The sequence below is a fragment of the Homo sapiens genome, chromosome 1 (genome assembly GCF_000001405.40).
Source record: "Homo sapiens chromosome 1, GRCh38.p14 Primary Assembly".
NCBI lineage: Eukaryota > Metazoa > Chordata > Mammalia > Primates > Hominidae > Homo > Homo sapiens.
The window spans coordinates 75,917,517-75,932,703 of record NC_000001.11 but is presented as its reverse complement, the minus strand read 5'-3'; the positions used below and the strand labels follow the sequence as shown (position 1 = coordinate 75,932,703).

Genomic DNA, 15,187 nt, shown 5'->3' with positions numbered 1-15,187 from the left:
TAGCCTACAAAGGATAATCAATGTATTTATTACCATTATTTAGTCTACTGAAGAAACATGCAGAACTTGAGAAACCAGGCAGACTACCTTGAACTGAATTCTTAGAAAATTAAATATATTGTATCTTAGCTTTCACGTATGTCATTTCTGTCCAATATGTCTCTTTCAAATGTCACCAGTTACATACAATATCCCCTCTGACCTATGCTGGTGACCTCTACCTATTGTGGAGGAATCTCCACCTATTGTGATGTCATCCAGTACTTTATGGTAATATTTATTTTTTCTGGTTACAGTTTAAAGGGCACTTCTGTTTGTGGAGTAAAGCCTGCCACATTGTCAAAATATGTAACTGGAGGATTACAGTATGCTTACCTCTGATTTTATTTCTACAGTGCTGCTATAAGTAACAATGAGTAAATCTACTAAATTATGTGGTAAGACTTCTTGTCCAAGAAGCAATATATTCTGCAATCTCCTTGACAAAATTGTTAAAAGACCCTCCCTACAGTTTTTGGGTCAGTGGGGATATCACTGTTACGAACCAAGGATTTACAGATCACTGGCAAAAATTCTGAGGTATGTGGACTTGGATGGTTTTGACGCACTACTCACAGATTACATTGCATTTGTGGAAAAATCAGGATACCGTTTTGAAGTAAGTTTTAACCTCGACTTCACTGAAATATGTGTGAATACAATTCTGTACTGGGTTTTTGCCAGAAAAGGTAATCCTGACTTTGTGGAATTGCTTCTCAAGAAGACAAAAGACTATGTTCAAGACAGAAGTTGTAACCTGGCACTGATATGGAGGTAATAATTTCATATGTTTTCACTATAGAACAAGAAAATTTATCTTTACGAGAGTAGAGTGCTTCTTTTTTCTAAAACTCACATGTATAGTGGCTATATGTGAAGTAAGGAATTCTCACCTAATTGCTTGACCACGTGTTCACTCCTTCACTCTTTTATTATGTATTCCATTTTTATTTATATGTAAATTATTATGTACCAATAAATCATTAGTGATTCTGCTCTACACAGCTTACATGTTAGTGCTAAACAACATGTTTCTCTAACTAAACAAAGACACTATGTTGTGTAATACTATGATCTCCTATTTCTGCGAATCCTATGGTTTTATATTTATATATGTTTATAAGCTGACTTTCAAAGTACAATTGGGAACATGCACACATCTTCACATAGTAATACTTATTAAACACAATAGTTCCCTATTTGTGTGTTAAACATTTATAAATTAGACTCCAAATTCTCCAAATTTGAGCACAATGAAGGTCAAGTACCTGATGCTATCGATAATAGAACCAAATTTTTATAGTGTTCACATGTCAATCTACCTAATGCATACTACTGAGGATCTTATGAAAATCAAATCTCCAATGTATCCTCTTTTTAGAGTCCATAATATAGAATTTAAAGTTACCTAGTTTGCACTAACTTTAATTTATTCTTTCGTTTTAGATATTCATCTGAATAAAACATTCATGTGTTCATTCATTCAGCAAAATATTTATTAATCACATTACTATGTATGCAAGTCTGTACTAGGTGCAATATAAATGCATGTATGCAATGAAAAACAAAATGGACAAGATCAGTTAAAGACTAAACCAATTTAGATTCTGCCTAAAGCAGAGTTTTTTCTTGATTGTGCATCCTATGGTATCGGAGAACCACTGGATTTCATTACTTAATGATTACTAAAGTACATGAACTGATAGCTGTAGTTTGGAAACAACAATAAACAAAACTACCAAATGGTACTTTGTGTTTTAAGTAACCATTATATTTGTAACTACAGCAGAGATCAGCAAATCTTCTAAAGCTGACTGTCACTAGCTGGGCTAAATAGTGCCTGTCTACAGCCCTGGAAGGTCCACGGGAAAGAAAAATTGAGGCAAACAGAGGGAGAGAGAATAAATTTTTAAAAATTAAAAATGGAAGCAGAGAGGAGAAAGCTGGACAGAAAATGAAACAAAGAGAAACACAGTGGAACATGATAGGGTGCCATTAACAACTGTCTTAAGACAGGTTTAAAATTAATCAATTTCAACTTAGATGCATCCACAAGGTAAAACCCATTACAGGCCAGTTCTACTGATCGCAACATCACTTAGACCTCTCAGAATCATAGAATTTTATATTTGTATGGAGCCTGAGAATTCATTAGCAGACCTTTACCCTGGACAGCAACTGGTCGATGCTCACTGGTCTCTTCTTAAACAATTCTAGAAGTAGTGAGTTAACTATTTCCTTAGGTAAACCGTTCCTTTGCCTTGGGGTCCTTGTTTTTCCTAGTGTTATATATATATATATATTTATATTTATATTTACATATATTTATATTTATATGTAGTTATATATATACATGTTATATATAGTTATATATGTTTTATATATATAACTAAATATAAATATAACTAGTTATATAAATATATAAATATAACTAGTCATATAATAGTTATATAACTAAATAAATACAACTGGTTATATATAGCTAAATATTTGAATATATATAATATATAAATATATAGTCATATGACTTTAAATATGATGTATATGCCAATGACTCTCAAAATCTTTATCCCCAGTGTTGACTTTGCCTCTGAGCTCTGAACTCCCTTCTATATTTAGTTAATTGACATTGCCACATGGCATCTCAAACTGAATAGAAACAAAGCGGAATACTGATCTAACTCACCCCCCCTCTCTGCCAACCTTCTCCTTCCCCAGAATTCCCCCCAACCCCCGATTAACAGCACCTGTTTCTCTACCATGTGGCTAAAGGCAGAAATCTAGGATTTATTCTTGATTCTTTCCTTTGCTTCAACACATCAGTAAGTCCTGTTATCTCCAAAACATATCCCAATCATTTCTTTTTCTTTTCATCTCCTTTCATCTCTTTCGTTTCAAATCTAGGTGAACTCACCATCACCTCTTGCATAGAAAACTGCAATAGACTCTTAAAGAGTCATTCAGCTTCCACTCTTCCCTCTCAACTCCTATAATCTGTTATTGACTCAGAAGCCTGAGTGACCTTTTAAAAATACAAAATGGCTCATATCAACCATAGTTAAAATCCTCCAGTTTTTCCACTACAGTGATTTTATACAAGGGGTATAACATTCAAACAATACCCCTTTTTTAAAAACCCTACATGAAGCTGGGCACGATGGCTCACGCCTGTAATCCCAGCACTTTGGGAGGCTGAGGCGGGCGGATCACGAGGTCAGGAGATCGAGACCATGGTGAAACCCTGTCTCTACTAAAAATACAAAAAAAAAAAAATTAGCTGGGCGCAGTGGCGGGCGCCTGTAGTCCCAGCTACTCGGGAGGCTGAGGCAGGAGAATGGCGTGAACCCGGAAGGCAGAGCTTGCAATGAGCTGAGGTCGCGCCACTGCACTCCAACCTGGGCGACAGAGCGAGAATCCGTCTCAAAAAAATAAAAAAAAATAAATAAATAAATAAAAAAAAATAAAAACCCTACATGAAAGGTCCCTCTGTATTTCTCCCAAACCCCATCTTGTATTACTCTCCCTTTTGAACACTATATTCCAGCCACAAAGACCTTTCTGTTTCTTGAACATCTTCAAGTTCATTCCTGCCATAAGGCCTCATAATACTGTTCCCTCTGCCTGAAAATTTATTCAATTGGACCTTCCTCCTCATCAGCTAGGTCACAGTATAAATACCATCTTCTCAAAGAGGCCTTTCCTACTCACACAATCTAAAGAAGCCACTCAGTCATTACAGTAGTTTACTTTAATTCTCTGCACCTGCTGATCACTGACCTGTTTATTTACTGTTGTTCCTTTTTCATTGGTTTGCTCACTATCTATCCTCACGGATAGAGTGTGTAGAACTATGTCAGATACGTAGCAACTGCTCAATCAAGATTTTGTTGAATGAGTAAGTGAATTTTGAAGCAGCTTTATTTGATTCTTCTTTCCTGTACTGCACTGAAGTCTTGCATTTCTCCAACCCTGCCCAAGTAGCTATAAAGATCAGTCTGCTAACTCTCTTTTCTAAAAGAAAACTTCTCAAGTATTTGAACACATCTATTATGTCCTCATAATGAATACCCCAAATTTCCTATTATCTGTTGTTCTTTACTTCGACAACATCATTCTTTGGTCATCCTCCCTTGTTTAGACTCTAATTTGATAATTTCCCTATTATATCTCCCTGGAGGAGAGGAGATAGAATTAACGAGGGGAAGAAACTTAAGTTTGTTCATTTTCACCACAAATCTGCAAAAAACATCTAAATGCCACAGTGTGACAGATTGTAGGTGGCTAAAGAGAGATGTCATTCCATTCAAATAACAATAATAAATATTAAGCATTTTTTAAGTGCCAGACACTATGTTATTTATTGGGGATACAAAAACAAAGTAGACACATTTCCTGATTTTAGAGAGCTCATATACTAGTAAGTGAGGCATAAATTTAAACAGCAATTATAGCCACACTCTAGGTACAAAAATAGAAGCATGCACAGGTAGAGAGAGCAGAGAAGGAAATTGTTAACACCATTAGGGAGGAGTAGGTATCTGAGAAGGCTCAATAGAATAGGTGATGTCTTAAACTGATTTTTAAAAGATAACAAAGAGTTTCTTCTTTCTTTCCCTTGAAGACATGTAATCTAGATAGAAGGAGGATTACTGAAACTAAGGGAGATACAAACAACATTGTTGTATCCAATGACTACAAGCAGTTTAGTAATAGCTAGAGAGTGAGATAGGAATCATGTAGTAAGAGAAATGAAGACTGGAATTGAAAGAATGAAGGACTTTGTAGGCCAGAGTGAGGAACATGAAATTTACACCATGGGTAATGCCTGGCCAGTGAAGGTCAATCAACTTGTACAATTAAAAAGATTTATCAGCCCCATTTGAAGATTGGATTTTGGGAAAACAGGCTGCAGCTAGGGCAGGGAAACCAGTTAGTAGACTACTCAAGCACTCCAAGTACAATGTTCTATGTGGGAAGAGTTGGGGGGAAAGTGATCTAATTTTTTTAAAGGGGGGTGGTTAGAGAAGGTCCCTGAGGCTGAATTTGCATAGCATGCATAGTACATGTACTTAGTTTACATGTGTATTTATAATAGTTTTGAGGGGAGAACTAATTCTCTTCTACCAACATCCCTCCCAACCTCTGTTCACCCTTTGATACTACAACTGTCCAGGCAAATTATGAGAACTTAAACTAAAACAGTAGCAGTGGGAGAAAGGAGAGAGATTTTTAGACAGAATTACAAGACACGGTAAGTGATCAGAATTGGAGGATCTAAGAGAAGAAAGAGTTAATCTTCAGATTTCTAAATTTTGAGAGTGGTCGAAAGTTGTATTAGTTTCCTGTTGCTGCTGCAACAAATTACCACAAACTTAGTGGCTTAAAACAACACAAATTTATAGTTTAGTTCTTATAGTTCTGGAGTTCAAAAGTCCAAAATGAGTCTTATAGAGCTAAATCAAATTGTTAGTAGGTCCAGTGCCTTACGGAGGCTCTAGGGAAGAATCTGTTTTCTTGCCTTTGCCAGCTTTCAGAGGCCATCTACATTCCTTGGCTGATAGCCTCTTCATCTTCAAAGCTAGCACTGTAATATCATCATATCTTATTCATTGACTCTGCTTCCAACATTCTCTGCACTTATAAGGACTCTTGCAATTACACTGGGCACACCTAGTTAATTTCCCACCTCAAGATCTTAATCATATCTGCAAAATCCTATTTGCCATACTGAGGGGCCATTATTCAGCCCACCAAAATGGTCATACAAGCTTATCGAGATAAAATATTTTAAAAAACCTATAAAATCAGTTTTAGACATATGAGTTTGCACTGCCTAATGGATATCGAGGTAGAGATGTGCAATACGTGGCTAGATAAACAGTGCCATCCTTAATGTTTCTCTTACATCTCACGTCTATATTGGGATCTGTTGGTTCTACCTGCAAATAATGTACAGCATCTGGCTGTCTCCACTACTATGTTCCAAGCTAAGTGATTTCCTTCCTTCTATAACAAATTCTCAACAAAGGGCAGATCACACTACTCTTCTACTCAAAACCTCCAATGGCTTGTCCTTTTGGTTTAGAGTAAAAGGTGAAGTTCTTACAGTGATCCATAAGGCTCTAAATAATGTGGCATCCCATTACCTCTGTCCTCTTTTCAGCCGCGCTGGTTCCGTTATTCTTCCTTCATCACTCCAGGCACAGTCTCCCGCCATAGGGCCCTGAAATATCCAAATGGTTAACTTCCGCACCTCCTTCTGGTCTTTGTTCAAATGTCATCTTTCAATAATGTACTCTTCCATCATCTTATTTAATATTTAAAAATGCCCTGACCGTACCAGCCCACAGCATATCCATACTTCTTATTCTGCTCTACTTATTCTTTTTTCCAAGCACTCATCACCTGCTAACATAAAATTTGCTTGTTTACTGTGTTCATCCTACATTGTTGTTAATCGTTCACTATAATATAAGCAAGATAGTAAGGATCTTTATTTTGTTTCCTGATATATCCCAAGCACCTAAAACAGTTCCTGGCATATAGTATGCATTCAGTATTTGTTGAAATAAATAAATGGACAGGAATTGAAGTTATGGTCATAAATGAAATTGCCTGGGAATAGCCAAATAAAATTGGTCTAAAGGCCATGCATACTTACTTAGATGTTGAGGGCAGAGGAAGAGGAGCCAGTGAAAGACAGTTGAGGAGAAATAGCCAAAGAGATGAATGGGTAACTTGGAGAGACTAGCCCAACTGAGTAAAAGGAAAACATAGTTTTAAGAAAGTCAACTGTGTGAAATATCACACATGTAAAATTATTCTGGAGAAGCATCTATCAAATTTTTCAGCTAGAAATTGAAGGAGAATGAGAAGGGAAAAAAATTAGAAATAATTATAGCTAAAAAACTGAATAATTCTCTGCATGTCTGTATGGAAATATTATGCCCCATTTCATAAGCATTATGACAGGTTTTCAGATACCAAGAGTTCAGTTCATTAACCTCACATTTAAAAACTAATTCTTGCTTTGCTTGCTGCACTTCATCCATATAAGTACTGCTATAATTAACTGTCAGTACAGATTAAGCAAATTCTGGTTTACAGTAACATACTCTTTAAACATGAGGATTAATCATATGTCATTTGGGTACAGATTAGACTTTTAAATCTCATTTTAAACCTATTTGGGTTTTAGTCATGTTTTCAACATTTTTCAGTATTCATTATCTTCTAAAGGTAATGTCAATCTTAATATCTTAGAATCAACAAATATCTCTAAATCTTAATAATGACCACTTATGGTATATTTTGCCCCCTGAGTCTCCAGAATTCCCATACTTATAAGGTTCTTAAGTCAAATATTTTCTTAAGAACAAGCAAGATGAATACATTAAACTGCCTTTGAAAAGTTTAAGTGATTACATATCAACAAAAATCTTGTTAGACCTGAAAGCTACAGGATAAACTCAGGGAATTTTTTACTATGACATATATATAGTCAAAATTTTCAGTAAAAAAAGTTCAATTAACAAATATTTGAGTGCGTAATATGGGCCAAACATTGTTCTAGGCACTTAAATATGCAATAGTGAACTAAGATGAAATTACTATCTTTTAGAGGCTTCCACTTTTGTAGATTGTTTTGCTTATCCATTTATTTTGAAGAAGAGAAAATGAAAGTTTAGAGGTGTTAAATAAGTTTTCCAAAAGATACAAATTTAATGTAGGTAGGTACAAAGTGCCCTGAGGAGTATGAGATATATCAGGGTAATCAAAGAAGAGTTCACAAAACAGTTTATTAGATAAGGTCTCATAAAGATGAGTTAGACTTATTGCAGAATTGAAAAAAAAAGGCAGGGGAGAAGAACATATACAAAGTAAAGAAATGTGAAAGACCTGGATGCAGTGGTGGTTTGGGAAACTGCATACCAATGATAGGTAATGTAGAAAGAAATGTAGTTTAGAAGTTCTCCATGCGTTGGAAGTATTTGTAAAAAAGATAATATGCCCATGACATTATTGGTCTGGAGATGATTCCACGAGAGATACAGGAAATAATACATATCCATATTCATATGTATATACAAACATATATATCCTTTCTCTTTCTATATGTGTATGTGTGTGTATATATATACATATATGTATGTATAGTGCCAGTGACAGAGTTATGACAAAAAACTACATCTTGATTTCTAAAATGCTACTTTGCACTACAATTCACTATTTTTTAAATTACAAAATCCTGGCATGTCAGCGTTTGGTGAAGCTTTGCAGATAAACTAGTTGGTCCAGTGACTTTCCAACTATACTTTTTGGAGACCTGAACAAAGATCCAGCAGGGGGTAAGGGCTCTAGGACATCAACCAGAAAAACTCTTTTTTCTTAGTTTTGTCAGATTCTTCAAAAATAGTTTGAAAAAAGCTCATCTATTATAAAACATTTATCTTCTATAGCTAGTTCTGCTATAGCAATCCTCCAATGCTGGTTTATGCTTGTGCCTAAAACATTCTTTTGAATCTTTTTATTGGAAAACATCTACTAATCTTTCAAATCGTAGTTTCTGGATAACCTATAGGAAATGACTATTTCAGATAGAGTTAAGTACCCCTCCTCAGTGCTTCTATAGTACCCTGAGCATGCTTCTATCATTGTGATTATCACCTTGTATTGTATTTATGCAATTTCTTGTGTTTTCCTTACTAGATTATAATAGTCAAGAACTATATCTTTTATCTCTGTGTATCTACTTCTCAGTACACTCTAGGCAAGCAAGTATTAAATAAATTAGGTAATGAAGGAATAAGCAGATGAGTACATAAATGCTTGTGGAAACAGATGTAAAGAGGCCAACTTGCTCAAAATCACACAGCCAATTCAAAGAGCTAAAACTTAGAACCTAGAACACTTGTCTCTATTGTTTATACCATGCTGCCTCCCATTTTACCTAAGTACTATATATGCAGTCTTAAAGTTCCCCTTTTTGCATAAGTCTTTCCTTGCTCTGAGTAGTTGCCTAAAACCAGTATTTATACTTTGTGTGCTGTCCTGCAGTATTTTATTAGGCCAGTCAAGAGAATTCCACAGACAAAAATCATTAATAAAATTTCTCTTTCATTAGCCTAAAAACCATATTACTTGGCAAAATTATGGCTTGCTAATAGAAAATCTCCTGTGGTCAAGGACACCACAACAATATTTACTCTGACCAAAATAACAGCATAAAAGTCTATTAAATGAAACAACTGCAAGAAGTATATACCATTTAAAAAAATAAAGTTTTCATTTCTGTCATAAGGGAAGAGAAATTTTTAAGTCTAGCCATCATGTGACACTCTAGGGAAAACAAGATTTCCCTAGATTTCAAAATTTTACTCAAGAAGAAAAATTCTGCCCTTGAGGGACCTGATATGGTTCTCACTATAATTTACATTTCCTAAGCCCAACCAACTCTAATTTTATTAAAGTGAAAAACATAGAATTAAGATAGTTGTATTTATTCCTTTCCTAATTTCCAAACTCAATTCAAGTTCATGTCTGGTACATGATCAAGAAGAACAAAAACAAAAAGATATGCAAATGATCACATAATTCTTTCTATTAATAAAGTTAAATCAAAAAGTTCTGTCCTCCTTTTCCATTTTATTATTTCCAGAGCTACATCAGTTTTGTAATACTGTCCTAAGCAGTACAGATTTCTCAACTAGAATTGCTATGACTAAAAGTAAACACTTTACATATATTATAAATTGTTTTTTTTTATTTTTACAATGTAAATGGGGTTTAAGTGTTTGGTAGGAGTTTTCTTTTAACCTTCAGTTTAGTCTAGATTCATAGAGTGGAAAACTCCTTTTAAGAAATATATAGGCTGGGTGCAGTGGCTCACGCCTGTAATCCCAGCACTCTAGGAGGCTGAGGCAGGTAGGTCACCTGAGGTTGGGAGTTTGAGACTAGACTGACCAACATGGAGAAACCCCTTCTCTACTAAAAATACAAAATTAGCCAGGTGTGGTGGCACATGCCTGTAATCCCAGCTACTCGGGAGGCTGAGGCAGGAGAATCACTTGAACCCAGGAGGCAGAGGTCGCAGTGAGCAGAGATCGTGCCTTTGCACTCCAGCCTGAGCAACAAGAGGGAAACTCCATCTCAAAAAAAAAAAAAAAAAAAAAAAAAGAAACATATAAAGTTACATTTAAGACATTTAACATTTAAACTATTATTTTCCCATTACTAGCAAGATAAAGTGTTTGTCACATTTCTTAATTCTATATCCAATGAGTTTTTGTTTTGTTTAATTCACAGAACTTTCACACCAGTATACTGTCCAAGCCCATTAAGTGGCATCACACCTCTCTTTTATGTAGCTCAGACAAGACAGTCTAATATCTTCAAAATACTACTGCAATATGGAATCTTAGAAAGAGAAAAAAACCCTATCAACATTGTCTTAACAATAGTACTCTACCCTTCGAGAGTAAGAGTAATGGTTGATCGTGAATTGGCTGACATCCATGAAGATGCCAAAACATGTTTGGTACTATGTTCCAGAGTGCTTTCTGTCATTTCAGTCAAGGAAATAAAGGTAAGAAAACTACTTTAAAAAAAATGGGCTCAAATATTAGTGAATCTTAAGATTCAACTGTAAAGGAAAGAATACAGTTAATTTTTAATTTATAGAATATGTCCAGTGACAGATCATTGAGTATATGCCTATTAATAAAAATAATAGGGAAAATCTCAAACAGTCCTTTACTTCTTATGTTTTTAGAAATATGAAAGAATTTTAAGTTATATGTATAGTTCATTTTAGTATTAAGTAGATATATATTATATCCTAATTATATTTTTAAAACTGTTTAAGATGTCTCTGTCCTTTAAAAACAAAATCAAAAAATTTAACAGACTTCCTTTCCAACAGAATATTTCAAAATAAGGGTTACATTTCTCCCCACAAATACAATCATATGTCAAAAAACAGATTTTTTCCATTCAAGTTCTCAAAGCAACGTCAAGCATTATAAAAATATAAATAAAGGCTTAAAATATTTGTTCAAGTGAAAATATCTATCCCTCAGAAATGTGGAGACCTTCTTTACAAAGTTTCTGGAATAAATCAAATTTAGAGAAAACAATTAACAGCATACAGGGTACCCTGTCAAAATGAACTGCAAGTGTCATCATCAAATTGAATCATGCCCATTAGTAGCAAGAAAGAAGTCCGTTTAATAGAGAGAAAGCTACCCCTATAAATTTAAACCAATCAAATTAACAAGGAATCCAGTAGTTCCCCTAATCTTTAAGGGTGTGACTTCAGAAATAAACTCATAAGAGATATAACTCCACTGTTTTTTTTTCTTCAGTGCCTCAGCAGTGAATATGAATGTCTGAGCCAACTATAAGCAAAGCAAATTTATCAAATTATTTTGGCAGCCCATTTTTAAAACAAATTTTTTTTTTGCATTTTCAGAAACTTGCTTGTCCTTGGTCCAGTATTAATTCTGCATAATTGTTACAGAACATATCAATTCTCAACCAGTTCCATGAATGCTATTCCTGAGATACAACACTAGTAGAAAAGCACTAGGACAGGCCGGGCGCAGTGGCTCACGCCTGTAATCCCAGCACTTTGGGAGGCCGAGGCGGGCGGATCACGAGGTCAGGAGATCGAGACCATCCTGGCTAACAAGGTGAAACCCCGTCTCTACTAAAAATACAAAAATTTAGCTGGGCATGGTGGCGGGCGCCTGTAGTCCCAGCTACTCGGGAGGCTGAGGCAGGAGAATGGCATGAACCCAGGAGGCGGAGCTTGCAGTGAGCAGAGATCGCACCACTGCACTCTGGCCTGGGCGAAAGAGCGGGACTCCGTCTCCAAAAAAAGAAAAGAAAAGAAAAGAAAAGAAAAGCACTAGGACAGAGTGAGTTAGTTGACCAAAATCATCTGCCTAAGTGGCAAAAAATTTATAGCTGGGTTCCAATCAATTGCAGTTTAATAAAGTAAAATAGCATTGAGCAGGAAGATAAAGAATAGCATTAAAACTGCTTAAAGAACACTTTAAATACCTCTGTTCTGCATTTCCACACTTCCCAGTAGTTTTCCCTATCGCAGCACATATATTTTATTGTAAATATATGTTTAGATATTTCTACCTCTACACCGTGAGTCTTGTAAGCACAGAGGATGTGTCTATTTTACCTACCCTAGCAAATTATCCCAAGCACCTATCACAATGCTAAGCATATACTCTTTAATAGTTAAATAATTGAATAATGAATGCATTATACAAGTAATAGATAAACAATAGTATCATGTAGCCTGTGGAGTATATGTTCTAGTGGAGAATATTTCTGTAATACAGCAATGTTTTTTCCTCCTAAGTCAATCTATTAACATTTGATCCGTAAGATTAAATATTTTAAAAGATGCCTTTCTAGACCTTTAAAAGACATCTTTTCATTTGGACAGGCCTGTGTCAGGCCTTCTTGTGTATGAAGCTTTACTCTACAATGGTTGATATCACCTGGGAAACTTTTAGGACTTAGGTTGTCTGTGTCCAACCCCAGACCAGTTGAATCAGAATTTGTGGAGTAGGGCCTGAGCACTGGTATTTTTTACAGTCTCCCAGATAATTCTATATGGCTAAGTTGACCGTTACTACTCTTCAGGAAGAAGTTGATAAAATAAAAGTACAATCCAACTAAAATTAAAAACTTGTTCGGATCTAGATCTAGAAATACCATTTGACCCAGCCATCCCATTACTGGGTATATACCCAAAGGACTATAAATCATGCTGCTATAAAGACACATGCACACATATGTTTATTGCAGCACTATTCACAATAGCAAAGACTTGGAACCAACCCAAATGTCCAACAATGATAGACTGGATTAAGAAAATGTGGCACATATACACCATGGAATACTATGCAGCCATAAAAAAGGATGAGTTCATGCCCTTTGTAGGGACATGGATGAAATTGGAAATCATCATTCTCAGTAAACTATCGCAAGAACAAAAAACCAAACACCGCATATTGTCACTCATAGGTGGGAACTGAACAATGAGAACACATGGACACAGGAAGGGGAACATCACACTCTAGGTACTGTTGTGGGGTAGGGGGAGAGGGGAGGGATAGCTTTAGGAGATATACCTAATGCTAAATGACGAGTTAATGGGTGCAGCACACCAGCATGGCACATGTATACATATGTAACTAACCTGCACATTGTGCACATGTACCCTAAAACTTAAAGTATAATAATAAAAAAAAAAACTGTTGCCTTGTGTCCTTAGACATATAGATTATTTGAAGTTTATCCCTGTGGAAAAAAATGGGAATAAAATACTTGCCTCAAGTAAAAATGCTTTGGAAAAAAGTTATAAGGGTTTTATAAATTTATGGTCTATTTTCTAAATTTAAATTAAAAATAAGTTTTAATAATTTGGACTAATCCAAATTACAAAACATTACAAAAGTAAAATATTTTGCTTTTCTTCAGACACAGCTGAGTTTAGGAAGACATCCAATTATTTCAAATTGGTTTGATTACATTCCTTCAACAAGATACAAAGATCCATGTGAACTATTACATCTTTGCAGACTAACCATCAGGAATCAACTATTAACCAACAATATGCTCCCAGATGGAATATTTTCACTTCTAATTCCTGCTCGTCTACAAAACTATCTGAATTTAGAAATCTAACATACGTCAGTGTCCTAAGTTCCTTAACAATGCTTACCAATGTATGGCTTAGAAGTTAATAAAAATTCACTTCATGTAAGTTTTTATTGCATTAAACATTCATTTAGAAAATATATTTTCACACAACATCTTAATTGGATCACTTTAATCAATACATGACTCTGCCCATTACTTCTATACAATGGAATAAATTATATGCATTTTACACAAAGTGAAATGAACTATTTTCATCCAAATTACATCAAAATGAAAATATCAGTTCAATCTGCATGTTCTTTCATCACGACGAAACTTATCTTAAAAAGTAGAGTTTTCTCAGACAATTTTTTGGCTATTTTCTAAGTACTAGACTTTTTTCTCTATAACTATATGCAAACATGAGACTTGGAAGACAGTTCTCTATGGATCTCTCTCGTGTTTTTCCTGTCAGGAGCAGAGGCACTAATTTCCATTTATTATGGGCTAGCTTTTCAAGAATGTTTGTATAGCGAGCAGTTTGGGAGATAGAGATAGTGTCTTCCTTTGGAGCAGAGAGCAGGTTTGTTTATTGTCTAGTATAAAAAAGCAATGTGTTTCTCAGGCAAAGGTTGAGCAAGTTTGCTGGAAACTCATTATAAAAGATTGGAATTTCCCAAGCTCAGAGCTCCTCAGCTGTGACACAAATCTACTGTGTCCACATCTACTTGGACCACTCCATATCTTGGAGGGTGGATCTAAGTGGAATCGACACAAGCATCAATCTTATGCTACTTGCTAATGCCATTAGTAATAAAGTCCTTTGTTTCTAACCCAGGAGTCTCTTGTCTTCTGACAGTAAGCATGAAGCTATGGCAGGCTAAACTGCTTGCTTGCAATTAGGGTAAAAATGTCAGACTCTTCACAGTTTTTGACAATGAGCACCTGTTCCCACCTTATCACTATATATTTTAGGGCCTGTCTTAGTAAATTATGGCAGACAGTAGCAGTTTCCACTGTCCACTCACAGTCTGAGTACTATCAAAGTGTGACAATTTATAGAAAGAGTGTTCACTCTGGTTCTGTACTAACATAAACTGTGTGAATATTATTATTACAGTGTCTAAAGAACAGAATGTAAATAGTAAAGTAGCAAAGACATGGAGCAATCCAACCAGATTACTTGCTTTTTCTTTCCCTCTACTTTCATTTAGGTGAAGTAAAAATACATTATAGGATTGAATTATAGAAATGCTTACTTATACACTTTATTAAAATGTTTAATTATAACTCAGCATATTTTAAGCTCATAAATATAGAAGTATATATTATAGACAGGCTATTCATATGAATATTTCCTTTACTAGAAACATGTAAATAGTTATATATTTTGGTTAAAAATAAGTTAATATAAAGAAAGCCTAAAAGCTACCTTTAGTCTAGCACATAAAGAAACACTAGATTGGTGATCCAGATGAAG

The 15,187-nt window shown here is 35.0% G+C and overlaps 1 protein-coding gene across 3 annotated transcripts; it reads left to right on the top strand.

Moving 5' to 3' along the window:
• The first annotated feature begins 299 nt into the window (after positions 1 to 299).
• On the top strand, positions 300 to 13,831 carry ASB17 (ankyrin repeat and SOCS box containing 17). 3 transcript variants are annotated; one of them, NR_026546.3, is made up of 3 exons: positions 300 to 813; positions 10,407 to 10,624; positions 13,546 to 13,831. NR_026546.3 is itself a non-coding variant. In XM_047445206.1 (3 exons), exons 1-3 carry the CDS (start codon positions 413 to 415, stop codon positions 13,750 to 13,752), a joined length of 654 nt encoding a protein of 217 aa, XP_047301162.1. In that variant the 5' UTR covers positions 300 to 412; the 3' UTR covers positions 13,753 to 13,831. The 3 variants fall into 3 exon arrangements, 2 of the variants coding, with proteins under 2 accessions (XP_047301162.1, NP_543144.1); XM_047445206.1 differs by having other exon boundaries at positions 300 to 579; positions 10,345 to 10,624; NM_080868.3 differs by having other exon boundaries at positions 10,345 to 10,624.
• The last annotated feature ends 1,356 nt before the right edge of the window (positions 13,832 to 15,187 follow it).